Consider the following 27859-nt stretch of genomic DNA (forward strand, 5'->3'; position numbering starts at 1 on the left):
TTGGAGCCCAGTCTCCTGGGATGCTATTTCAACTTGACCCAGCTATAAAAGCATAGGAACCCCAGTCATCAGATAAAGCAGTAGAGCAACGAAGGTCTGTGCTGTCTGGTCAAGGGTTAGATTTGGATGGTTAGGGAGCTGGAAGATATTGGTATGGGATTGTGGGGTTGGAGAGATGGATTTGGCTTAGGAGAACAGAAGGAAGGCTCCAGCAGCAGGAAATCATTTTCTTGCTAGCCTGTGTTCCAATTAGGGGCAAATATTAGAAGCAGGAACTGCCTCAAGGTAGGAGGATAATAGGACTGAGGGTTTTAGGTAAGGGATATCCTGCCACAGAGATGACAATGTGATCTGGTATGCGTTTTCCTCTGCATGTCAAATGAATAACAAGGATTAATTTGCTTCCGCCACAAGATGCACAACATTCTCTACTCCTCCCTCTGCTGTGGCTGCTGGAGGCCACTCATGTAGGGCACCCATATTCATGACAGCTTGAAAGCACTAGAGAAAGCCAGCTTCTATATTACATTGCAAAATTGCAGCAGGCTTATTTCTTTGAGAGCACATACTGTTTTGAGTCCTGAGAAGTCCCTTTTGTATCTTGCCTACCTCTCCTCTTTGAGAGCCTGTAACATACGTGCAGTGGGCATAAACCACACACCAAGCCCTCGCTGTGCTAGTGGATTTACTTTCGATTGCTACTACAACAAATTACTACAAATTTAGGGGCTTAAAACAACACCCATTTATTATCTCACAGTTCTGTAGGTCAGAAGTCCAGTAGGCGCAGCTGGTTTCTCTGTTTCAAGTCTCACAAGACTGAAATCAAGGCATTCGCTGAGCTGCTTTCCCTTCCGGAGGCTCTAGGGGAGAGTCCATTTCCAGGTTAATCCAGGTAGTCGGCAGAAATCAATGTCTATAGAACTGAGGTCTGTTTCCTTTGCTGGCTGCCATCTGGGCATCTCCCTTGGTATTTAGAGGCCTCTTTTGAGTCATTGTAGGTAGTCTCTGCACACCCAAAACTAGGAATGGCATATTAAATTCTTCTGACCCTGGATCTCTTCTGTCTCCGCTTCTTGTGCTGCATCTCTATGACCAACTCTTCTGCCTTCCACTTCTGCTTTTAAGTGATTAGATGGGCCCCCTTGGTAATCCAAGATAATCTTCCTATTTTAAGGTCTGTAATCTCAATCACATCCACACTGTCTCTTTTGCCACGTAAAGTAACATATTCACAAGTTCCCAGAGATTAGGGCTTGGAAATCTTTGGGGGACATTATTCTGCCTACCACAGCTAGGTTATTTTCATATTTTTCTCCCTTAATCCATGTAACAGCCTCGTAAAGAAAGCATTGTTATACTCATCATATACGAATAGTAACTGAGGTTCAGAGAGGTTCCTATTACAACTGATAAACGGGGGAGCTGGGGTTTGAATCTTGCTTCAGAGCTCACACTCCGTCCTCTGCCAGAGATGGAGGGGTGGAAGAAAAGCCATCATGTGACCTGCCACTCTCATTGCATTTCCCACCATTGTTTCACTAGGGCTGCTTCTCAACTTAGCAAGGTCGTCACTCTGTCCACCAAAGATTTCTAACTCTCCTCCTGGGTATGTGGTATGTGTGTCTCCTGGGTCTCATCAGAACACACATGGCACGCTCAAATGAAGTTATTGAGAAGAGATTAATAAAAGGACTGTTTACAAGGTTGTGAGTGGGGCAATGTAAAACCAACAAGGAATGACAGAGCATGTTGGCTAACAACAGCTATTGCACCCCACGCCTGGAGGAGTATAGGGAAGAAACAGTTACTAGAACCCCAAGAGAAAGGAGAAACTGAAGGAGGGGATGCCTGGCTGGAGCTGTGGCCTTCAATAGTGGAACACCGCTACAACCAGCCTGGCAGGGAGGTAGGTGGCAAACTAAATGACTTCACTCTCCTCCCTCCCTCTGAACTCCCACTATTGGCAAATCTTAATGAGGAGCCAGAGGAAAGGGGAGTCTGTTTATGCAGTTCTTGAATTTTAACTTTCCAGGCTCAGAGCAGAGTATAGAAAGGTAGAGGGTGGATCTGAGAGAGACTATCCAGCACTGTGAGACTGTCCTTCCCTGTGTCATTGAAATCGGGTATGGCGGTGGGATTCGCTTGGGCCAGTGTGTTAGTTTCCTAGGACGACCATAGCAGATTACCATAAACAGGAGGCTTAAAACAAGAGAAGCTTATTCTCTCACTATTCTGAGGGCCACGCTCTCTCCGAAGGCTCCTAAGAATCCTTCCTTCCTAGCCTGGCAGCCTTTGGCATTCCTTAACTTGAGCTGCATCACTTCAGGCTCTGCCGCTGTCTTCACAGGGTCTTCTCTGTTTCTGTGTGCTCTCCTCTTCATATAAGGACATCCATCATTAGATTTAGGGACCAACCTAGATATCATCTTGACATCCTTAACTAAATATACCTGCAAAGACCCTATTTCCAAATAAAGATCACATTCTGAAGTTTGGGGTGGACATGAATTTGTGGAGGGAGGCGGTGTGGATAATATTCAACTCACGAGGCCAGGCACGGTGGCTCACGCCTGTAATCAGAGCACTTTGGGAGGCTGAGGCAGGCAGATCACGAGGTCAAGAGATCGAGACCATCCTGGCCAACATGGTGAAACCCTGTCTCTACTAAAAATACACAAATTAGCTGGGCGTGGTGGTGCATGCCTGTAGTCCCAGCTACTCGGGAAGTACTGTAGTACTCAGCTACTGAGGCAGGAGAATCGCTTCAACCCGGGAGGCAGAGGTTGCAGTGAGCCGAGATGGCGCCACTGCACTCCAGCCCAGCGCTAGAGCGAGAGACTCCGTCTCAAAAAAAAAAAAAAAAAAAAAAAAATTCTGCTTATGATAACCACGTACATCTGGACCAAAGTTTCTAGGCCTAGCATGCAATTTTTTCTTTTTTCTTTCCTTCTGCCATGGCAATCAGCAATGCTCAGACAGCAGCTGCCCCCTCAGCCTGGGTCCTGGAGTGAGATGAGGCAGAGCAGAGCCCTAGCTGACCTGCAAAGGAAACATAACATAAATAGAAATAAATGTGTCATCTCTTCTGAAGTATGCTGTGTACGGTAGTTAATGACCACAGCCCATCCCTTCAGAGATAGTGCCAGCAGCCATAGTAACTCCCTAGTTCCTTCCTTTCACACAAACACCCTTGAATTGACCGAAACCATTCTACAGACTCATTGTTTCTTTTAATCCCAACCCCATTGGCAACATTTTACTGCACCGTAATTCCTCTCTGGGGCCAAGGTATAGAAAGAAGTAGATCTCCAAAGACTGCCTTTTGTATCCTTAGAGGGACAAGATTTGTAGGAAAAAGAAAATGAAGGCTAGAGCACATGGGTGTTCTCTGAAATGAGCTGCAGAGTAGCTGTCTGCATTTCAGACTGACAATTTCAAATGAATCCTCCACCAGAAGCCGCCAGGAATGTCTGCTGAGAAAACTGTTTTCTGCCTACACAGGGCTCTCTAGGTGCACCCTTCCCTGCCCTGCTATGACCACTTGTGCAAAACCACTTGAGAAACTGCACCTCATGAAGTTTGTTTATTGATGCTACTACGTGAGCCTCTCTGAGTCCATCTGCCAACCTTCTTTTCTCTAATACTGATCTCATTGCTATGGGTGTGGGCCAATGGACTCAAACTATCTTTAGGGGGGCCTTAAAAGCAAAATGGATAAACTAGGTTCAAACTGTCAGACAAGACAGACAGACATGTCTGGAATCATGAGAAAGATTGCCCGATTCCAGGCCCCGCCCACCTCACTAATCCATCTTGAACAGCCCCTGGGTTTGACCGCTCCCACACGCTAACTGCTGCTGCAGGAGCTGCAACTTCCCTCATCTCTTCCGCAACCACAAGCCCTGGGAACCGCAATGGTAGCAAGAAAGAAAAATGTTATATCAACACTGAACTTAGAGGGGTGGTTCTCAAAGGATGCTACTGGGGTTTACAGCATCTGCAGCACTGAGAAACTTGGAAATGCAAATTCTTGGGCCCAGCCCTAAACCTACTAAAGGAGACACACTGGAGTGGGGCCCAGCAATCTGTGTTTTATCGAGTGTTCCAGGTGATTCTGGGGCATGCTAAAGTTTGTGAGCCACTGACTTAGTGTCTGACCTCAGAAGACAAGTGGCCTGCCTGTCACATGATTTATCTTGGTAAAAGTATCACCAGTTCCTCTGTCACCTTTGCTTGGTCAGGAGGAATCCACCTGTAGTAGAGTGGAGAATCCCTGTGAACCCAAGTTGTATCCTGGCCTCCTGGGTGTTTTATATTAGCTTCAGGTCACAAGTGCCAGTCGGTGTTGTGCAGCACCCAGGAGACAGAAGCAAGTCAGCTACAAGTGAAGCCTCTCATGTGGACAGCAGGTTCTCTAACATCTCCTGTTAAAGCAGCACATATTCTACCTTTGTTCTGATAGAAACCAATGTGTACTTCAAAGTGGCTTGAGGATCTCTTTAATTCTATAGTTTTGGTGAGTTTAGAAATACTTTAAGAAACTGGTTTCACTGTAGTTTACAAAATGCCCTTTTTGTGTGTCCATCAAAGTACTTTGTGTCTGACATCTGTGCTAATCTCTTGTGAGTTTCCATTTACAAGATGCCATTTTGATAAAATGCAGAAAGTGTCCATATGGTTACACAATTGTGTCTCTCTGTCTGGAGAATGAAGGAAATGAAACTGGGGGATCCCCTAGAGGAACGACAGATCAATAACCATTTCACCAGGTGGCAAATTCAGTGGGTCCTATGAAGCAGTGTGTGCAGAGGGGAGAAATGAGTCATACTCTCTCATAATTCAAAAGAAAATGATATGTTCATTTGTGACAGCCACCTGGGCTAGACCACCTGGAGCTGTTTCTGGCACACTAAAGTAAAGAGCTCATCCTAACCTACCCTGTCCTCGAAAGTAGCATTCTCTACATAAGGCTTGCATAAGTGCTGCATTGGGCTCCTGATAGACAAATCAGTCAGACCTAACCGATGAACTCCACTTCTTCAGTAGTTTGGATAATTCTCTTAATTTTGTCTGATAGTACTGAATTGCCTGAGAAAACCCACTGGTTTCTTGCACAGTACAGTCTGTGAATCAGGATTATTTTTTGTGGTTTTTATGTGAAAAAGTTGTACTTTTTAATCTTTTCCTCCTCTCCACTTTCAGAGCTCTCAGTGTGGTTTGGAGTGTGGTATGGCCCCAGAAGGCCAATAGAATCCTGTGATTTGCGCTCTAATAATCTGTATCCTGCCTGCCTTTTTGGGGTCTATTAGTCCATTTTCACACTGCTATAAAGACATACCCAAGACTGGGTAATTTATAAAGAAAAGAGGTTTAATTAACTCGCAGTTCTGCATGGCTGGGGAGGCCTCAGGAAACTTACAATCATGGCAGAAAGGGTAGAGGCACATCTAACATGGCAGCAGGCGAGAGAGGCAAAAGTGAGTAGTGAAGAGGGAAGAGCCTCTTATAAAACCATCAAATCTTGTGAGAACTAACTCATTATCATGAGAAATCATGGAGAAACCACTCCCATGATCCAATCACCTCCCACCAGGTCTCTCCCTAGACATGTGGGGATTATGGGGATTACAAGATGAGATCTGGGTGGGACACAGCCAAACCCTATCAGGGTCTGAGCCTTATGCCTATCTGGCCTCATTTTTCTTCCAAGAAATGCTTTGTGCTAGTGGGACTGTAAGCTAGACAAAAAGGTATCAAAGTGCTAAGGGAAAGAATATATGTAAGTGGCATGCATATCACAAGTGACAGCTTTTTTCCATGGAAGTTAAGATGGTCTCAGTGTCCCTAATTGGCACCTGCATATCTGTGTGCATGCACACTCTGAGGGTGTCATACATGCCTGAACCCACCCTGCAGAGACAGAGTGGACAGCTGTCCATGGGCTGTGATTGGATTTTGCTTCAGGGACCTCTCGACAACTACCCCGGCTGGTCCAGGACAACTGCCTGCTGGAAATTCTCACAATCACTTATCTCTTTGGACTTAGGCATTGAAAGTTGTTTAAATGCAAATTATTTTCCACAAGGTAGAGACATTATCATTCATTAATATTTGGGCTTTAATGAGTCTATCAACTTAGAAGAGAATGCGCCAGGGTCCTCTTTTGGTAATGGGAGCCAAAAAGCCAAACAGATGTGTTTTAATAACGACAGGTCGAAGAGGAAAGAGTAAGTTCTGAAATGTTGTAGAAACTAAAGCCACAGACTTAAGGAATAGCATGATGACACCGGTGATATGGTAAGACACGAAATGAAAAAAGGGAAGTGGGAGAGTGGAAGATAAAATGCCTTTATAAGTCCACAGGTCATTTCTGCCTACGGCTCCTAGTGACTATCCTAAGCACAACTGTTTGTGGAGACTCTTGCTGAGACACTGATACATTTTACCTCTGCTGTAGCATTATTGCTTCAAAGGATTTATTCATTTATTAAACACCTGGAGCATGCCTATACACCGTGGGCATATCAGGAAAACAAAACAGGCAAAACCCTCGCCCTCATGGAGCTTACATTTTAGTGGTGAGATGGGGAGAGACAACAGACACAATAAATAAGGAAAATATGGTATTAAATGGTGTTAGATGCTGTGGAGAAAAGTAAAGCAGTGAGGGGGTGCTGTTTTAAATAAGGTGGTCAGAGAAAGCTCACTAGATGATAGCATTTGAGTATAAAGTGAGTAAAGGGTGGGCAAGCCAGGCAGATGTCAATGTAGAGATCGTTTCAGGCAGAGGGGAAGGCCCATGCAAGGCCCTGCAACAGGAGCATGCCTGGTTTTTACAGGAAGATCGGGGATCGGGGAGTGGTCAGTGTGGCCAGCCCAAAGTGAGAAAGAGGAGAACAGCAGCAGATGAGATCAGAGAGATCAAGGGGCAGGGGCGGGAAGGGAGGCGGGGATGGGGAAGTTCAGTTCACACAGGGCCTTAGAAGACTTTAACGCTGAGTGAGTTTTGAGCAGGACAATAATATTATTCAACTTGCAATTTAAATAGGCTATCACAGGGGTTAGCAAACTTTTTCTGTAAAAGAGAAGAGATGGTAAATATTTTTTCAGTCCGTGAGGTCTCTTGCAACTCCCTGACTCTGACATTATAGCATGAAAGAGTCACAGACAAGGTAAACTAATGAGTAGGGCTGTGTTCCAGTACAACTTTATTTACCAAAGCAGTTCATAGGACAGATTTTGCCCATGTTGACCCTTAGGCTATTGCAATAATCTGGAGGAGAGATGAAGGTGTTTTGGATCAGAATTGTAATAGTAGTGGAAGCAAGAAGGGGTCAGATACTGGCTATATTTTGAAGGTAGAGTCAGCAGGATTTGCTGTCAGACCAAATATTCCATGATTTTTGGTCTGAGCAGCTAGAGTCACACTGTTGAAATGGGGAAAACCAAAAGGCGAGGTAGGTAGGAGGAGAGGTATAAGGAATCCATTTGGGACATGAAAATTTGAGATTCCTTTAGGTAAAGGAATTGGATTCAGTGTTCCCTAACTCCCCTTCTAGCTCTAATATTCTATGACTCTGCAACTGTGAGAGAATGACGTCTACCCCAGTGGCTTCTGCTGTGATCATGTTCTTCAGGGAGACCTTCCACACTGCGTTACTCCATCCTTCCCAAATGCAATTGGTGATTATGTTGGCTAGAGATAAGTTGCTGGAAGGAAGAAATGCTGAAAGGGAGGCAACTGCCAGCTGAAACTAGCAGGGGGACTTGGAAGAGTGTCATAAACAGTATATGTGCCGGAGGAGGCTTTGAGGGCTGGAGGCAAATTCCTGTGTATATTAGTTTCTGGGAGGTTACTTGTAATAGAGTATTGTCAGTGGAGCAGGCTAATTTTTAACGTGTTTTCAGAGAAGAGCAATGCAACTTCTTAAACTTCACATTTACTCCATGGTCAAAATGGCCACACTTCCACTGTGCTCACCCTCTGTAGAGATGCCCTGGAGCCCCACATGGATTCCGATGGCCTCTATATGTCTGCAGGACACAGCCATGGTTTTTGTCACTAGCTTCCACAGGCAATTTCCTCTGTCTTCTCTCTCATCTCTCATCACTGGGAGATATGTCTTCTGTCTGCCCAAATTCTTTCCACCCAAAATGTGGCTGTGTGCCAGTGGGATTGTTTGCTCTACGGAGAGCCGGCAAACCACTTTGGGAGTGAGCTGATAGCAATATATTTAAAATATGAGCGTTTATCAGAAGCAGCAGATGGAGGCAGCAGAGTGGAGCTTCCAGAACTGAGGGCAGGGAGTGTTTCATTCAAGTGTAAAGGCGCACCATCTAGACTCAGCTGGCACCAGCTCATGAAACCAGTGAAGAGAAGGAGGGAAAAAAAAGGCCACCTTTGTGCTAGGTTCGGAAGGTCACAGCGTTCCCTGACCTTAAGTCCTCAGTGCCTCAAAGACAGCATTCACTCTACGACTGGAAAAAACAAAAACCTTCCCGGTTGCTCTCTTTAATATTTTTTACTTCCTTAAAGCCTAGTAAATAGAAAAAAAATTCTGAAGCTCAGAACAAATGGAAATATAGCCCATTTCATTTATGTATGCATGCATTAATTCATTCGACAAATGTTTGTTACATGGCTCAGACATGGCAGAATCTATGGAATACTCTGGGGCAGAGAACAATGAGGCAGAGAGATATGTTGTAATTATTAAAGATTAAACATGTTGAAAGTATTTTAATTTTAATTTTTTATCACTGTCTCCTAACCCACCCCTAAAAATAAAAAATATATTCACAGCCTCTTCCACTATTTGATCTAAAAGAAGTATATGTTTTAGTGGTAAATTTCCTCAGGGTACAAGTAACAAACTCAACGCATTAGTGGGAAAAGGACAACAATATTAATTTCAAATCACCAGTTTGAGAAGAGTACCATGATGGTAGCATCCATTTGGAAAGGTCAGTTTTAACAGCTGATGGGTGTCCAGTATGACAGGTGTCCTTATAAGAAGAGGACAGACAGAGATGAGGAAAAAATGTCATGTGAAGACAGAGGAATAGAGTGATGCATCTACAAGCCAAGGAATACCTGAGATCACCAAAAGCGGAGAGAGGCATAGAACCACAGCTTCTTCCCTAGAGCCTTCAGAGGGAACGTGGCCCTGCCAGTACCTTGATTTCAGACTTCTGGCCTCCACAACTGCGAGACAACAAATTTCTCTCTTTTCAAGCCAGAGAGAGGGAGACTCTTGCTCTGCTAACAGCTGAGTACACTAAAAAGGACTGGGTTAGAACTACATTTAGGGGAGCTGAGAGAGCACCGTGGAAGGAAAGAACCAGGAAATCCCCAGGGATGGAGAGGGAAACTGTGTCACTCTCAATTGACTTCCTTCCTTCCTTCCAATGAGGCTTGAAGGAAGCTTTAGAGTGTATCAGGCTGTCTTAGTTCATTTGTGTTGCTATAAAGGAATACCCAAGGCTGGGTAAATTATAAAGACATGAATTTTATTTGGTTCATGGTTCTGCAGGCTGTATAAGAAGCATGGTGCCAGCATCTGCTTCTGGTGAAGGCTTCAAGCCACTTGCACTCATGGCGGAAGGCAAAGGGGAGCTGATGTGTACAGAGATCACATGGCAAAAGGGAGGAAGCAAGAGGGAGGATACAAGAGAGAGGGGAGGGAGATACCAGGCTCTTTTTAATAACTAGCTCTCTCAGGAACTTATAGCAAGAGCTCACTTACCCCTCCTCCCCTAGGAAGGCCATTCATCTGTTCATCAGGAATGAGCCCCTATGACCCAAATAATTACCAGTAAGCCCCACCTCCAACACTGGGGATCAGATTTCAACATGAGGTTTAGAGGGTCAAATATCCAAACTATAGGCAGACCAATATTCTCAGTAGGAAAGGCATTGGCCTCTCGGGGAGTTTGGAAATTTTAGCGGTCATTACTAGTGATGACATCACTGATGGCAGGACAGCTCTGGCATTTGGTGGATGAAGGCCAGATATGCTAGATGTCCTGCTGTGCTATGGTTTAATCTTATACAACAAAGAATCATCCTGCATCCAGCATGATGTTTGAATGTCTCGCAAGATATCCATGTAGGTGAAAATGTGGTTATAATTATCTGAACCTAAAACCTAACTCATGTCACATATACACACAAAGCATACTTTACACAATTTTAATGAAAGCTGCATTTTCCAGAAATATGAATGCCTTATGAATCAAAGGAATATTTTGTTTAGCTATCTTTGGAACTTTGCCAAAAGCAGTTCACCATCTTGGAAAATCACATCACTGACTATCTCATTGCTCATGTATTTGTGTGCCCAATGTAATACACCTGAATCAGTCTTGTATCTGTCAATCCCCAGTGATCCTAAGCAAACATCTCATTACTTTGTTATGTCTTTGAGTATAGTTGTACCAACACATTTAAATAAAGAAATAGGGAGGGAGAGCAGTAGGACAAATACCTAACACATACAGGGCTTAAAACCTAGATGACAGGTTGATGGGTGCAGCAAACCACCATGGCACATATATACCTATGTAACAAACCTGCATGTTCTGCACATGTATCCTAGAACTTTAAGTATAGTTAAAAATAAATAAATAGATCTTTTATTTCACATTACTTGTCTTTTTAAATATTATAGTGGAAGCATTATATTGAATTTTTTAAGTTATGAGTATAGATAGTATAAGTTATCCATAACATTTATTCCAAGATTGTAAAGAGCAGGTTAATGTTATTTAATATATGCCAAGTGGAGCAATGGGTCTATAAGGATGAGAACCAGTGAGACGGGCAAAGTAGGAAGGAAGAACATTTTAGGCAGCACTTTAAAACTTTAACATGTACGTGAATTACCAGAGGATTTTGTTCAAATGTGGCTACTGCTTCAGTGGTTCTGGGGTGAGGCCTGACAGTCTGCATTTCCAACAAGCCCCCAGGTGACACTGATGCTGCTGGCCCATGGGTCACATTTTCAGTAGCAAAGTTCTAGACAGAGGGGATCGAAGGTGCAAAGGTTTGAAGGTTTGGAAGAGTTTTTCTGGGAAAAATCAGTGACTTGGTATAATCAGAGCACAAAATGCAAAGCATTACATGATGGTTGATGAGACAGTCAAGGGAGGCAGGGTCAGAGCATGCAGGACCTGATTCCTGTGTTTGGGCTTCATTTTGTAGACAATGGAGGACCCTGAAATGATTATAAACAGAGTTCTATAATTTAGATCTCTCTGCCACCATGTGGGATGGCTCTGCTGGACACAGGGAGTCCAGTGAAGATGCTTTTCCAATTATGTTGCCAAGAAGTAATAAGGACCTGAACTGAGGAAGCCATGGTAAGAAAGGAAGGAAGAAGACGAGCTTGTTTTTCTAGAGTTAGATTTCCTGAGCCTTGGTGATTGAGTGTGAACTGTGAAGAGGAGGGAGGTCAAGGATGACTTGTAAGATCCTGACTTGTGCTCTGGGTGTATAATGATGCCATTGGCCAGCACAGGGAGCACAGAAGGAGATGCAAGCTGGGGAGACAAAGTTCGGGGAGACTGGCTTTCAGACACATGAATTTGAGATCCTGTCTTATCAAAAACCAGAAAGATATCTGTTTGAACTTTGATGTTAAGACTTTTATTAAAAGTGTATTGATTTCATTATAACAGGCATCACTCATATAGGTGTGTTCATTTGCCAGGCTTCTGTGGATTTCTGAGAGAGCGGAGGAGGAGCATGTACAATCACCACAAGCTCCATGGCTGACCAGCACAGGCATTAGGGTGAGAAGAAAAGGGGCAGTACTAACTTTTACGTACGTTAAGTATTCACTTGGGGAAGCAGAGGCGGGCGGATCACCTGAGGTCAGGAATTCCAAACTAGCCTGGCCAACATGGTGAAACCCTGTGTCTACTAAAAATACAAAAATTAGCTGAGTGTGGTGGCTCATGCCTGTAATCCCAGCTACTTGGATGGCTGAGGCAGGAGAATTGCTTGAACCTGGAAGGCGGAGCTTGCAGTGAACCGAGATTGCGCCACTGCACTCCAGCCTGGGTGACAGAGCGAGACTCCGTCTCAAAAAAAAAAAAAAAAAGAAAGAAAGAAAGAAAAAAATACATTAAGTACATAATCACATAACCAGCTGGTGTCAGAAAGTAGGAGACACAGTTGGAATAAATTTCCTGCTTCCCAGGGTTGGTCTTTCTATCTCTGTCTTTTCGTCTGTCTTACTCACACAACACACACCCTGCCTACACTGCTATCTTTACTATACCACTGGTTCACAGATGTTTGCAGGGTGGTGAATTTGAGGTGGTCCTATGAGACAATAGGCCTGGTGTCCCCATTTCGTGTACTTAACCATGTCAAACTCCACCAACACCATGCTGCTAGACTTCAGTGAGTGCTAGGGGCCAGGTCTTTGTCCATAATCATAAACAACATAGCTCTAGGAAGAAACTTTATAAATAAGGAAATGGAAGCTTGTAGAGACCAGATAATTTGCCTCAGGTCACAGAGAGAGAAGAGAAGGTGAATCTAGCCTGATCCCATTTCTTTTCTCACTGAGGCTACAATTCATTTCCTCTAACCTCTCCCAGTCCTACCGAAGTAAAGCTGTCTCTCAAACAGCATGCCGGTTCACATCTCTGCACCTCAGAGTACTTCTGCTTGCAATCCTCCTCTCTGATATTTAACTGTCAAAGTCCTACCTAGTAATCTGTCAAAATCCTACCCAGTGATCACCACATCTGTGAAGACTCTTCTAAGCCTCCCGACTTGATGCCCAGTACATATTTCCCATCTTGCACGTATCGTGCTGCACTGTAACTGTGTGTTTACAAGTCCCTTTCTCTCTCAAGGCTGTGGGCTCCATCGCTGTGTCTGGTCCAATAAAGACTTTTGAAGTGAACTGGTGTGCATAGTCATTAGCGGGTTCTCTGTAAATTTCATGGATTGTAATAATGCCTGGAAAGTATAAGCCAGTTTCTAAAGAAAGTAGATGTTAGCAATGGACAAAAAAAGTGGCTTGGAAAATGATAATCTTTTAACACATTATTTACATATACAACTTTTTATTAAAAATGGGTTTCACAATGGACTCTCCCTCCTCCCTGTCATCCCTCACCAGTAACATTAGGCTTAATTATTTAAATTAATTGAGTGGGAGTCAGTATTTAATTTAAAGTCTAATTCTTATTAGGATTTTAATAAATAACATTTAATAACTACCAATTACACTTCAGCATATAAGAACGCTTAATTCTTAACATTATTAATTTTTAAATAGAATCTAATGGAAACAATTTCTCCACATGGAAGTCTACACCTTGACCAAGTTTGAATTCTAAGTCTTAGCCTTGGTTCTCTTTGTATTGCTCATGCCTGCTGCTTTCTCTCTCTGTTTTCCTATTCTTGAGTGGGTTTTATGTGAAAGAAGATGGACTTCCTTCAGGCCTACAATAAAGTGACACTGACTTAAGAAAAACAAAATATCATTTATTTTTATACACAAGAAGATATAAAATTTCTACGAATGAGCAGATTTGGGTTTGAACATTAAACTCCATCATTCACATGCTGCATTGTTCAGTAGCATGTGTTTAATTTTATCATAAATTATCAAGTACTTTAAAAAACATGTAAAATCCTGTTTTCTGACTTTTGTAATTCAGATAACATTCTGGAATGGGACACACACACACACAGACACACACTTATATCTCCCTAAAACCACTGCATTAGTTAGGATCTTCAGGGAACAGTCACCCAGATAACCTAAAGTAATATAAGTTTATTGTAAGATCATATGTCTCAAACCGAGGTAGCCATATCTCAAGGGATTACATGGCATTAGCCAAAAATTATGAGAAGTAACTGAAACAAAAAATATGCCATGTCTCTCTAAATTATCCATTTTAAATGAATACAACATTTTTAATAAAAAATAATACCAATCTCTCAAGGAGGAAAATGTAGATGGAATTTTGAAGATGAAAACAACATGAGATGGCAAAGAAATGCTAAGCTCGTGATAAGCCTCTTGGGCTATGCCCCAGACTGCTAGTAGTACTAGCACCTTCTTTTCTTTTCTTTCATTTAGCAGAAAAGTCAGAAAAGTGTTGTATAAGATTCACATAGAAATAAGGACAAGAACAAGAACTGCACAAGAGTTGACACTGGAGACTGGAATGCTACTCAAAGAACAGAATTCCCCCAAACATCCAAGATGACCCCTAGCAACTGAATTATCTTGACATCACCTCAGCAGTAGAGTGCTGTTAGGTAACTCTGGCAAGGGTATACATATAATCTGCTTCAACAGTCCTTATTCCCACCAACCAACTCAACTATTCCTGCCCTTTATTTATCTTTTCGTTACAGCTTCCTTATACTTTTGCCCACTTCTAATTTCAATATACCCAATGGCTTTTCACAACATCTACAGTTGACTTTCTCTCTGGGTATCTTCTGCTCCTGCTCCATCTTCCAAATGCTCAAACTAATTTGTGCATTAAATGTAAAAAAAAAAAAAATCACCCGAAGAGGGCATATCATTCCTTCAATTAATCACCAGCATCCCTGTTTTGACACAGATTTTGTGCCATGCTGTCCATATCGCACCGGCCAGTCTACATGTTATTTGACTTTGAGTTCACTTCCCACTTTTGGCAAGCCTGGCTGTTGTTCTGTAGCAGGGTAACACAGGCTAAGAATTGAGATATGTCAACTTAAGGATTCACCGTGGTCAAGTTTCCTCTGCAGAAGACCATGGAAGTGTGTCATGGGCATTCTGACTCTTGCCTTCTTCAAAATAGCCCCACTAACAGATGTCAGCAACTGATTCCTTTGGAAGGATAAACAAATGGTATAACCAGATAAGGCTTTGAAGGCTTTGCAATGGACCCCAAATTATAACTAGTTACACAGAAATTTAAAGAATGGAATGAATCTCTGTTTGGATAGATGTCCTATATATTGCAGGTATCCTTTCTTATTTATTTTCCTTTCCTTTTTTTTAAGTTTTGTATTTCAGCTACAATGGTTTCAGTTAAACATACTTCTTAGTTCCTATTCCACCGTTACTACTGGTTCATCACCTCTTTAGTCCTTTAGTGCTACTGTAACAAAATATCAGTGGCTAGGTAATTTATAAAGACAGAATTTTATTTCTCTCAGTTCTGGAGGCTGGGAGTCCAGGATACAGATGCCAGCAGGTTTGGTGTCTGGTAAGAACCTGGACTCTGTTTCCAAGACGGTGCCTGTTGCTTTATCCTCTGGAGGGGGGTAATGCAGTGTCCTCACGTGGTGGAAGGGATGGGAGGGCAAAAGGGTGCTTCCTCCAGCCTTGAGGTCTAAAGGGCCTAATGCTAATACCATTTTTTAGGATGAAGCCCTGGTGACTTAACTACCTCTTAAAGGCTACACCTGTCAATACTGTTGCATTGAGGGGGCGAAAACATTTAAGCCCTAGCACCTCCGTTGATTGGTTGATTGATTGGAATCCTTTTCACAATCTCTGATAGAGATTTTAACATACTTCTGGAACTTACTATCTCATAAGGGCAACAGCCTATTTCATATATTGAACTTGCTAATTCTTAGGTAATTCTTTCATACATTAAACCAAAAATAACTTTCCCTTAACTTTGCCCTAATGTCCTCAGTTCTTTCTTGCAGAACCATATAGAAAATGTCTATTTCTTCCCCCAACACAATAGCCTTTCAACCCTATAAGGTTGGCTATTAAAGAAAGTTTTCACTTTTCTATGTGAAACATAGTCTGTTCTTTCATTAATTCTTCATATGATGTGGGTTTAAGGCACTTTACTACCTAGTCACTTTCCCTTGGACACACTCTAGTTTGATAATGTCTTTTTAAAAAATATGTATATATTTAAATATTTAAAAATAGATATGCTCTGCCATTGCAGAACATGATGGGTACAACCTTGCCCCTCCCTTCTCTAGTTTTGGTTTTTATTAATGCATCCTAAAATTTGTATCAGTCTTTTTTGGAAATAATATCACATTTTTGACTCTCATTGAACTTTAAATCTTTTTCAAGTGAACTGCTGTCAATTCAAAGCTTTCTACCTTGTATTTAAGTAGTTGATTCTTTGAACTTAGATGCAGAATTTAACATTTAACCCTATTAAATTGTATATTGTTAATTTCATTCCATCCTTCTCCTTTTCCAAGGTCTTTTTCAAATTTGATTCTTTAATATTGTCTATCAGCTTTACCTCCAACTTTCAGCGATCTACAAGCTTGATAGGCAAAGTTTTTATTGAAATTCACCCAATTCACTGATTAAAACGTTTACAATTTCAGAATAGAAGACAAAGAATCACTTTTAGTAGTGGTTCTAAAATTTTAGTGTGCAAAATAATAACCCAGGACATTTGCTAAATGTGCAGATCCCCAAGTCCCATTTCCAGAAATTTTGATTTAATAAGTCTGGGATGTGATTCCAGGAATGTGCATTTTTAACTAGCACCACATTTGATTCTGATGCTTTTTGTCCTAGGCCACGCCTTTAGACAGATCTTCGAAATTTTCCTTTTGGTCTAAATTGACATTAACATGTTCATTAATTTTTAATAGGGTGCTTTTTTTTAGTACAGTGTTGGACACATGATTAATACTGAATGAATGACTGAACAAAAGAAAGAATGAAGGGTGGAAGCAGTGCTCAGCTAATAATTCAGCTATATTTCTTCATTTTAGTCACAAAGCCAGTACGATCAGTTTTTTCAAATGCTTTGTTGTAATTGAATTATATTATGTCTTTGATGTTCCACACCGAGGGAAAAAAAAATTTATTTTGCATGACCTTTTCTTAATGAACATATGTTGTCTCTTAGTGATCATTGCTTTCCTTTCTAAGTGCTCACAAATCACATATTTAACTCTTCTGTCTAGAATTTCATTGAAAATTAAAAGGCGTGTTATATTTAAACCTGGAAATCTCCCGTTACGAGTTCTTGCTTTACTTTTAAGAAATTAGGGCATAGGTGTAGTGTTTTACTTATTTGCTATGCTTTAGGCCATGTTAGTTGTCTTTTATGTCTTAATATGTTTGCAGATAAAGAAGAACTCAAGTACTGGACACTTCGACAAAAAGAAATGTCTTACTTTTTCCTAGAATTCATATTTACAAAAACTTTCAAAATCTACAGGAAGACTCAAATAATATTACAATGTTCTTAATCTAGAGCAACAATTGTTAGCATTTTGCTCTATTTGTTTTTTCGTATCTAGCAAGATATATAGCTAGCTAGATTTTCCCTTCCCCGCCTCCTGAACCAATTGACTGCCATGTAGTTTAGTCTCCTTCAGTCTAAAACAATTTCTCTGCACTGCTTTCTGCCTTTCAGAATGCATGCCTGAATTCTCTGATTATACTTTTTGGTTTTCTCTGTTTGTTTAGTTGAGTTTTGGCTTTTGAGCCATGTAAAGTTTTATATTTTCAAAAAATAAAATTAAAGAGGATTAAAAATAGCAAATTTTAAAATTGTTCCTAAATGGGAACTGGAGTGACACATCACAGTGTTCATCATCAATTTTAGGGAAGCCAGAGAAGGCTGATCCAAAGTACAGAAGAGAGGGAAGGAAGGCTGGGCAGAAGAATACTAGACCGCTGTGAAGGTTCGGGAACATTCAGCAAGGTCATCGGGGATGTCTCTAGATAAAAATCAGCCATCAGATCAGTCCCCTGCTCCCAGCAAGGGGCCTGCCTCAGTATCCCCGCTGGCTCTGTTATCGGCAGGGAGCATCCAGGACAAGGCGCGGCCTACGCGGTGCAACGCAGCCATGGATTTCAGATCTCAGCCCCGGGGGCTGTGGGAGGAAACCTGAGGTGACTCTCAGGGTTGCCAAGTCAAGGCCCAGCCCCTTTCGCGGGGTGGCTGGGTGATTGACTGCAGGGGTATCAAGGACCCATCTCTAGCCCCAAGTCAGGAAAGATGTGGTGGTCCCCACTGAGGCTCTGTCAAGATTTCATCGCAGCTCGACCTTTTGCTCTGCTCTGCTCAATCCTGCTTCCTTCCCTTTGCTGTCCCTGGGGCTGATTGTAAGTGCACCCCCTAATAAGCCGCCTGCGTGCCCATCGGCAAGCACTGCTCCCAGCTCTTATTACCCTGTTAACACATATGCAATCCTCACAACGCTGAGGTGGGTGCCGTTAGCATCTTCAGTTTATGCATGAGGAAACTAAGGAACAGAGACTGGCTAAGTGGCTGCCCAAAGGAATTCATGCGCCTGGGAGGTAGCGAAGACTCGCCTCAAACATAGACACGCTGACTCCCTGCCGCCCCCTTATCTGCCACTCACTGCTCTTCTCTGTGATATAGAGATTGCTGTTAGCATACCCAGTATCGTAGTCTTATGATATTTCCCAGATGCTTTCCTAAGCAGAAATGTAGAAAAACTTCCTGGGGATTTAGCGTAGGTGGAGATTTGCCCGGATTGTGTGAAGGCAGTTCCAACCTGAATCTATTCATCCCCAGGGCTTTAGCTCCAACCTGGAGAACTAGCTTCACCCGGTAAGCTGCATTCCCCAGCACTCAGTTTTCCTCTGGCAGCGTGATACACCTGCCACTCCCATTCTGCAAAAGGAAAGACTATGTACAGCACAAATACCGAAATGGGAGATAAATACTCTTCTTTTCCCTAAGACAAGAGCTGGTTCTTGTTTCCTGACCCATTTGACTGCACATTCAGAGCTTGTATAATGCAGCTAAACTAGCCTATTTAGCATTTATGCAATCTGCTCTGTTTTCCACAAGCTCTTTAAGATATGACTTTAAAAAATCTTCATAACGGCAAGGTCGCAATAGCCATTTCTATAGGGAGACTGAGGAATGATCAAGACTATGGTTGATTTAGGGTGGGGAAATCTTTCCACTCCGATAAGCTTCTCAGGCGTTGGAAGGAGGATCAATTGTCCCAGGTTTCCTTGGGGCTGACAGGTTTCCCAGGACATGGGACTCTTCCTGTCTGAAACTGGGAGAGTCACAGGTAAACTGCGACAATTGGTCACCCTACAATGGACACTTTATGGCCTAGCATTGCTATGTTACAGGAATATCTGCCCCTCTACTGTAACTACTTTGCATTATTTCAAAAAACACTGATTTTTTTTATTATTAACCTAGGAAATTCCCTATGGAAACTATGGAGATAAACAAAGAAAAAACTAAAAACCATTCAGTAGCTCATTATGCAGAGGTCACTGTTTAAATCTTTCAACATCTTCTGTGTTTTTCTTTGCGTGTGTGTGTACACACATATTTTATACATCTAAAATTGTGCAGTAAGAACAATTCTGTATGCTGATTTTCACTTAGTATAAACATTTTCCCATATCACTAAGTATTTTTTGAAAACACCATTGCTATTGCTTGCATAATTTCCGTCGAGGATGTACTACACTTTAACCATTCTCTTATTGTTCAGCATTTAAACTAATTTTTGCTGTTAACGATAATTTTACTGTGAACATCTTTAGGTTTCTAATGGTTTCTTTTGGAGAGGTTTCTAGGACCTTACTGAATGAAAAGTTATGGGCTTAGTTAAAGCTGCTGAATCCTATTTCTAAAATGCTTCTGGAAAAGGTGGTAAGTCAGCAGTGTTAATGCCCCCTCCACTGAACTCCTGCCAACACTGAGAATTTTTTCAATCTTCACTAATCTTACAGATTTTTTCAAAAAAGTTATACTAGACAATCTTCATTTCTTTGTTTACTAATGGAGTCCAAACCTCTTTCATATCTTTCTCATTTGAATTTTCCTGGGAAATTGTTTGTGCATATATTTTTCCAGATCATTTATTGAGTTTTAATGTTTTCCTTCTCAATTTATATGAACTCTTTACAAACTAACTACAGTAAATCTTTTTAGGTCATAATTGTTTCAAATACATTTTTGACTCACTGTCTGACAGATGTCTTAAAATGCCCTAAAAACGTTTAGATGTTTATGATCTTTAAGCAGTATTTTAAGCCCTGCACTCATATACACACGCACTTGGTGAAGGTTTATGCTTTCCTTTAAAAGTCTCTTTTTTATTTTTTTTTTTCATTTTTAGCCCATCTGTGCTGACTTAAAATTATTTGGTAATATTTGAAAAGAATATGTGTAATGCATATGTAATCATAAAGAGAAAAGGTAAAACAAAATTACATGAATCCACCACCCAACTTAAGGACTAGAACATACCTAGTTCATACACTAGAACATACACCTTGTGTTCCTCCCCAGTCTCAGATCCCTAACTTTCCCAATATGGAATTATCATCCTGCTTTTGCCTTTGTTATTTGATTGCTTTTAAAAAACTAGTTTTATTATATATATGTTTGTGCCTCTAAGCATACGTTTAGTTTTAATATTTTTGAGCTTTACAAAACTAGATTCTTCTTTTATCTCTTCATCTCAGTCTTGCTTTTTTTCAGTAAGTACTATGTATGTTTATCCATATTTTATGAGAAGATGTAGTTCATTCATCTTCAGCACTGGATAATATTTTATTTCATTTCTCATCTATATGTCGGTTTGTATTCATGGTGCATATATACAAGAATTTCTTCTAGAGAAATTATATATTATATTATATTCTTATTATGTATATTATGTGTGAGTGGCATTGCTGGGTTGAAGTGGATGTACATGTTCAACTTTACAAGCCATTGCTAAATTGTTTTCCTGAATGGCTGTACTAATTACATTCCCAACTGTAGAATATAAGATTCCTGTTGCTTGACTTTCTTGCCAATACTTTGATATTTTCAAGTATTGAAATCTGGTAGCCATTTTTCACCCAGTAGAGTTGCACTCACTTTTAAGGCTTATTGGTACAAGTTCTTAAAGACTGAAAAGGAGTTCTCAGAAACAAATCAAACCCATTTTTATTTGGGCTTCTCATTTCTCCTTGGGGTCAGACACTTAACAAGCTGTTCATAATATGTCATGCTGGGCCTAATGTTCAGCCCTTAGAAGAAAAGGCCATATCAGCTGAGACAAGTGAACAGCAGACAGAGTTAGGAATTAGGAAGCTTGGGCTCTAACCTGTTTCTGTCACTGAAGGTTTGCAGGGCCCACGTATGAGTCATGTCTCTGCTCTGCATCCTATCTGCTCACTAGGCATAACAGAACTGACCTTCCTCCCAGCCCTGTCGTGAGGATGAAATCCTGTGTGGAGCACTTTGAAATCTTTGGATGAAAAGCACGACAGAAGTGCCAAGTATGATTGTTACCCGTGCCAGCCACACTAGAAGACAGCATAAAAATAGGAAGCAAAGAAAATTTCATTTTACAAAAGCTTCAGTGAGAAAATTGGCTGGTCAGAATGTCATTCCCTAGTTTTGGTTCACATACACGTTGTCTTTTATAAAATTAAAGGAAAAAAATAATTGTACACATTTTTGTCTTTGCCGGGAAGAAGCCCTTTGATCATCACCATCCCTGCGACGCCAGGTGAGTCCCTGATGCAGAAGGAAGATCGATACATGAGGAGACCGTGTGGAATCAGTTATTTGTAGTTGCTCCCCAATTTCTGTTTTTCATTGCAAGGAATCGAAGCCATAAAGTCTGAGGGGGTGTTACAGGTTGAGGATTAGGGAGTGTCTAAACCTTGACATCGTCACAACATAGGATCCGAGATACCTCCAGCTAAAACAGAGACTGTGCTTTCAGAACTGGCCCTGCACGCAGCCTCTACTCCAGTGCTCTCAGGTCCTGTCCTTAATAGGAGAACATGAGAGCTGCAGATTTAAAAACCCAAGAGGGAACCTTTGCAACAACCTTTGTTATATTAGGAATCCCAAAATAAGGTGAGTCATGCCCGTTAGTGTGCACCTTCATCCTAAAAATGACTTAGCTGTAGTTTTAATAGCTTATGTCCATCTTGGTATAATGCTGTAAGTGAGTTGTGATGAGCTGTAATCACCTTTGCTTATAAATTTGGTAGACTGTGGAAACAGTTCCAAACCACAGAAGAGACATTTCAAACTCTGAGCTTGCTGCCTGATATGACACACAGAGAATTTAGAATAGGAGTTTTGGATGCTGTTGCCACGTCTTTACAGCCTGTCTTTTATACTGGAGTTTTAAAAAGTCAAAACCCTACAGGGTGGTTTGGTTGCTGCATCCCACTGAGAAGTTGAGAAAGTAAAAGGTAAGGGGGTGTAGCCATGGGCTTGTCAGGGGGACGTGAGTGACACTAGTCCACCCACAGCAACTGTTCCATGAAGTTATGAATCATATTGTACTCGACTTGTAATTTCCACCCAGGAAGGGAAAGCTACTGAGCACTATTGAAATGTTTTGTTCAGAAGTTTCTCAGAGGGAGGGTCTTCATAGTGTTTTATGGAATAATTTGCATTCTAATCGGCATAATTGAATTATTGCCATAGAATTTGCATGGTATGGCTCCAGTAGAAATACTTTCCATTAAGAAATAAATACTCCTTAGAGAGGAAAAAATGTCCATCCACTGTAGTATCCAGTCACATGACAATCTCTATTTATTCCTCTTCATAACCCCATGAGAAGGGTCATCCTCACTGGAGTTTCAATTTCTTAACCGAAGAAATTAGTTGAAAAGTGGAAATCCAACCTGCTGATAGTTTCTTTATCTGTCCACACCTAATAATGAGTTTGACTGATTCTTCTATTTAAATTGACAGATTATTTACACCTCTGTGAATTACAATGTTGCTATGGTCTTTCTTTCCTTTGCATTTGTGTGTGTGTGTGTGTGTGTGTGTGTGTGGTTAGAACGTCTATAGTCAGGCTAAAATTCAGATCCCATCTTTATAATTCTTGTTTGTGTAATATGAATTTATCACAATGGCAGGAGAGTGAATTATCATACAGCCTTGAAATATCACACTGATTAAGACAGCAGAGAGCCATAGGGAAATGATGGCATGTTAAGCGAAAAAGAGTAGGAAATTATATCTTTGCCATGTTTTCAAGTACTTAAATTGTGCATGTAGAAGCATGGGCTGAAAAAGAAATATGGAAAAAAGAAACAAATGGTTGGTTGAAATTATGGGATTATGAGAGTTCCCTCTCCACCTTTTTATTCTTTTGTTTTCCATTAACACTCTTACAACATTGCTTGTGTAATAAACATGATTGTAAAATTATTCAGCTGGGTGATTAACAATAGCCAAGATATGCAATCTGCTTAAGTGTCCACCAACAGATGAATGGATAAAGAACATGTGGTATATATACACAATGGAATATTATTCAGCCATAAAAAAGAATGAAACCTGTCATTTGCAGTAACATGAATGAGCCTGGGGGGGGCATTATGTTAAATGAAATAAACCAGGCACAGAAAGACAAATAACCGCATTATCTCACTCATATGTGGAATCCAAAAAGTAAAAGGTAAGGGGATGTAGCCATGGGCTTGTCAGGGGGACGTGAGTGACACGAGTCCACCCACAGCAACTGGAAGTTGCTGGAAGTAGAGTAGACTAGTGGTTACCAGAGGCTGGGAAGGGTGGGGTGGGGAATGGGGAGAAGTTGGTGAAAGGGTACAAAGTTACAGTTAGGCAGGAGGAAGTTAGATAAGAGCAAGATAGCAGTTGTGGTCTGGGCATAGTGGCTCACACCTATAATCCTAGAACTTCAGGTGGCTGAGGTGGGCAGATGGCATGAGCCCAGGAGTTTGAGACCAGCCTGGGCAACCTAGCAAAACCCCATCTGTACAAAAATTTAAAAAATTAGCCAAGCATGGTGGCAAGTGCCTGTAGTCCCAACTACTCAGGTGGCTGAGGTGGGAGGATCACCCGAGCCTGGGAAGGTCCAGGCTGCAGTGAGCCATGATCACACACTGTACTCCAGGCTGGGTGACAGGCTTAAACATTTTTGAAACCCCATCTCAAAAAAATAAAAAATAAGAATAGTTACAGTTAGATAAGCTCTAGTGTTCCATTGCACAGTAGGATGACTATCGTTAATAAAAATTTATTGTGTTTTTCAAAGCAGCTAGAAGAGAGGAATTTGAATGTTCTCAACACAAATGATAAATGTTTGAGATGATGGATATGCTAAATACACTTATTTGATCATTAAACATCGTATACAGGTATGGAAATATCACTTGTACCCCATATGTATATATAATTATTATGTATCAATTAAAAATAAAAGAATAAAATTATATTTCAAAAATACTTGGTTACAAGAGAAGATCTATCATAAAATGAATAAAGTTTAATAAATAAAGGACCTGAGTTACAGGTCCTTTCCCATGCACGGCCCCTGTGAGAGCCTGGGTTGCTAAGAGTGATAGAGTTCCAGGTGGAGAGAGGAAGCTGGGTTACAATCAGGAAACATTTCTATGTCAGCATTTTGGGTAAATTGCTTAAAGGGATCTCAGAAGAAAAGGAACTAATTCTCCAGCACTCCTGTAATTTGTCATGATATAATTTCTCATTCTAAGTAAATATTCGCTTTCATGCCTAATTTTGTATTTGCAATTTTGCATTCTTCTTCTTAAAGAGGGCTCCCATAATTGTATAAGCCTCATGCCTCACAAAACCTGAAGGTGCCTTTGGTGAGGAGGATCATCAGAACACCAGCAGAGTACCTCGACGTGTGAAATCTAGCACTGGATTCCATCCCTGACTTTTCCTAAGAATCACTGTGAATGCTCTGGACAAATTGCTGCTGCGCTGGGTGCTCCCTGTGTCATCACACTTCCTAATTGTACTTCTGGGTCCTCTGAAGCTGTTCCCAGTGCTTAATCGTAAGAAAAGAAGCTCCAAATACTAGTTCAGAAACTCAGGTAGAAAGAGACCTTAAATGTCATGTCCAGCCACTCTTCTGATGCTTGAGTCTTCTCTTCAGGAGGCATCTGGGCCTGGGCTTGGACCCCTTGCCTCAGTCAACCCATTAGAAGTGTCTTTCCTTGTCTTGAGTCAAAACCAGTCCACTGCTACTGGCATTGCTCTATACTTCCAGGCTGTACAGAAGATGTCTAACCTTTCAGATGAGAATGGCAGAGGAAAGCAAGAAGAAAGAAACTTTAATTGTTCCTCAACTTCCCAATTAGGCACACCATTAGGGGTTTTTAATATGGTTCTTGATTTAATCTTCTCATTAACTTTCTGATGTAAGTATTATTATTTTATTCTAGGGTTCCCAGATGTAGCAAATAAAAATAGAGGATATCCAGTTATATCTGAATTTCAGATCAAAACAAATGATTTTTAAATAAAACATACACTCCCAAAAGTGTGAAATTAATTTGTCCTTGGACAAGAGATATGGAAATGTCATGTATTTTACCTGGAAATCCTGTTATTATGCCCATTTTTGGAGCTGAGGAAACTAAAGGTAGGAGCCTAGGTAAGTAGTGGAGCTGGAATCTAAGCCCAGGTCCTTGATTTCAAAGCACAACCCCATGCCCCACAATATCATACACTGATTTAGTATCTGCCTCCTACCTACCCCCAAGAAAAATGTGAAATTAATTTGTCTTTAGAAAGGAGCTACCAAAGCTATAAAAACAAAACAAATGTATTTGCAGCTAAGAGAAGACAATCTCCAGGAAACTACTGCTTCAGTTATTTGACACTGGGCAGAATTTTTGGTGAGAAATCAGCAAGATCATAGCCTGGAGTGAACACTGGAGGCATGAGATGTCCTTGAGAAAGAGGCTAGAACAGAGGGTGGAACGCCCCTTCTATTAAAGCAGTTGTTTTCCAGGGTCTCTGGAAAGCTCCTTCCTTTGTCGTGGCGGTGGTGGGGAAGGGGAGGCTGGGACCCTAATGCATGACTTTCCACCTGGGTGTCACTGGCACCTGATGTCCTAATCATATTTCCCTGTCACCTCTCAGTGCTGATTTACTTTCTCCTCCCATTCTACATGCTGCAGAACTAATTGCCTGCCTAATTGCCAAAACGAATTGCTGTGACATTCATTGTTCATCTGCTCCTTTCTCCGGCTTGAGCTCAGGCAGGTGGCTCCCATGAAGGCAAGGGTGGAATTATTCCTGCTTTAGGGCCAGGATGCTTCAGAGTGATGGCCCAACAATTATCTTCCTCATGGAGGCGGACCAAGGAATCACCTTCCTCATTGAGCAGGGGACAATAATTCTTGGCAGGGGTTCCCCTTCTTCTGCTGTAAGATTGGGTAGCTTTGACAGGTTGTGAGTCAGTTAAATTGTACTTTTCAGGGAGTTCCTCTCTCCCATTTGGAGATTAGGATTAGATTTGTTGGTTAAGAAACTGACCGAGAGAGGAGAGACAGCTCCTTGCTGGCCACATAGCTCATTCATGGTGAAGTTGAATCTGGGGCTCAGATATCCCAATTCATAGCCCAGAATGATTTCTACTGCACCACACCACAACTGTTGCAGTTGCACTAATTACGGTTTTATATTTCCTTATAAACTTTTATTAAACCCCTATCAAATAGTATGTCCTCATTGGTAGCAAGAATAATAAATATTTATTGAGTTGTTATGAATATTAAGCCTACTTTTTTTTCATGTAATCCTGAAAAAAGGCAACATGACAGAGATGCTCTCAGTATCCTTATTTTATATCAGGGAAAGTGGAGGCAGAGGGAGGTTAATAACTTGCCCAGGTCTGACACCAGATCCCATCCTCTTACCCCCACAAGCCCATGTGCAGATTCCTCCTGACAGCTTCTGGATTCTGATACACGAAAGAACTTATGAAGATGACTTGAAGGCTGGAGCTGGCGCAACATGAAACTAATCAACCAGATTATGCAAATTATTATGTAAACTCCTATTATTGAGCCAGGATTCATGACAGCCCCTTTTTTCCAACGCTGCTGAGATAAAAGCAAATGGATTGCAACACTAGCTTGGGATGAATTCAGGGAGCTTGGAAAGAATTCCTGGGATTTTCTGGGCAGTGGAAAAGACAGTGGGTTGGGAGTCAAGAACCTGAAGTTTAGTTCCGGATCTGGCATTAGGTAGCTGCATGGCCCTGGGAGGACCTATGTGCCTCAGTTTCTTCAACTGTGAAACGAGATAAGACTCCATGCTCTGGAAGACCCCTGCCATTCTAGGCATCTCGGATGGCATGTCCAAGATGGAAGCACACAATGGCAGAGGCTTGTAGCGACCTTCAGGACAGCTTTCCAGTAGCTGTAAATAAAAGTCTTATTGTTTGGTTCTTGGTCTTTCCCCCCTCTCAGTGACAGGAAGAATAATAAAAGCAATGGCACTATTGTGTGAAATAAGTGTTTTCTCATCCAAAAGAAAACATGACATATACAATAGCAAACCATTTGCAAGCTGAAAAAGTAATTAATTGTATAATTCACTGAACATGATAGGAAAAGTGAATTATGATAAAGGAGAAGGACTGAGAGTTAACAAATGAAAATTTTATTTAAAAGTTTTAAAATTTTGTTTTTTTTAAAAAAGGAGAGCATTGAAAGGTGATTAATCTACAGAAACAAAGAACTATTTCAAACACATTTAAAAAGGCACAATTAGAAGAATACCGCAAAAATAAAAAGAAAAATTCAGTTTGATCTGAGGGGGAAAAGAAAAAGCTGTTTTCATGAAAAACAGATTTTGAAGTACTTTTGTCATCAGCTTCCTTTCAATTCTTCTGGTTAATTTCATGAAGGCTGTGCGACCTTTCAACTTCCAAATGTTTGCAGGAGGGAAGGGTGGTAACGTGTGAGTGGAAAAACAATTAATTTTCAAGGTATGGGATTTTATAGTAGAGACTTCCTTAGCAGGATGGACCGTGACAGGGTGTTAGTGATGGAGACCTTAGGAGGAGAGGGCAGAAGATATGGGTTTGAGGTCCTGATGTACTCTGCCTGCTGTGTGATCT

At 41.3% G+C, this 27859-nt stretch overlaps 1 long non-coding RNA gene across 3 annotated transcripts, besides 3 other annotated features; it reads left to right on the plus strand.

Moving 5' to 3' along the window:
- Positions 1–1209: 1209 nt before the first annotated feature.
- Positions 1210–26819, plus strand: LOC105374031 (uncharacterized). 3 transcript variants are annotated; one of them, XR_007095997.1, is made up of 8 exons: positions 1210–1909; positions 11715–11796; positions 14115–14296; positions 14608–14995; positions 21155–21843; positions 24017–24116; positions 24533–24779; positions 25170–26819. It is a non-coding gene; the product is annotated as an uncharacterized LOC105374031 (long non-coding RNA). The 3 variants fall into 3 exon arrangements; XR_001740841.2 differs by lacking the exons at positions 14115–14296; positions 14608–14995 and having other exon boundaries at positions 24533–25985; XR_001740843.2 differs by lacking the exons at positions 11715–11796; positions 14115–14296; positions 14608–14995 and having other exon boundaries at positions 24533–25985.
- Positions 3889–3958: a silencer, noted in NCBI's record as "silent region_14594". NCBI's record gives its function as "represses an Ori minimal core promoter by ATAC-STARR-seq in GM12878 lymphoblastoid cells {active_cell/tissue: GM12878}" and the evidence as "EXISTENCE:reporter gene assay evidence [ECO:0000049][PMID:35858748]".
- Positions 5039–5108: an enhancer, noted in NCBI's record as "active region_20208". NCBI's record gives its function as "activates an Ori minimal core promoter by ATAC-STARR-seq in GM12878 lymphoblastoid cells {active_cell/tissue: GM12878}" and the evidence as "EXISTENCE:reporter gene assay evidence [ECO:0000049][PMID:35858748]".
- Positions 7923–8477: a transcriptional cis regulatory region, noted in NCBI's record as "candidate enhancer chr3.3177 targeted for multiplex CRISPR interference". NCBI's record gives its function as "positively regulates CD47 gene expression with high confidence in K562 cells {active_cell/tissue: K562}" and the evidence as "EXISTENCE:mutant phenotype evidence [ECO:0000015][PMID:30612741]".

This window comes from Homo sapiens, chromosome 3, assembly GCF_000001405.40.
Source record: "Homo sapiens chromosome 3, GRCh38.p14 Primary Assembly".
In the NCBI taxonomy this organism is placed as follows: Eukaryota; Metazoa; Chordata; class Mammalia; order Primates; family Hominidae; genus Homo; species Homo sapiens.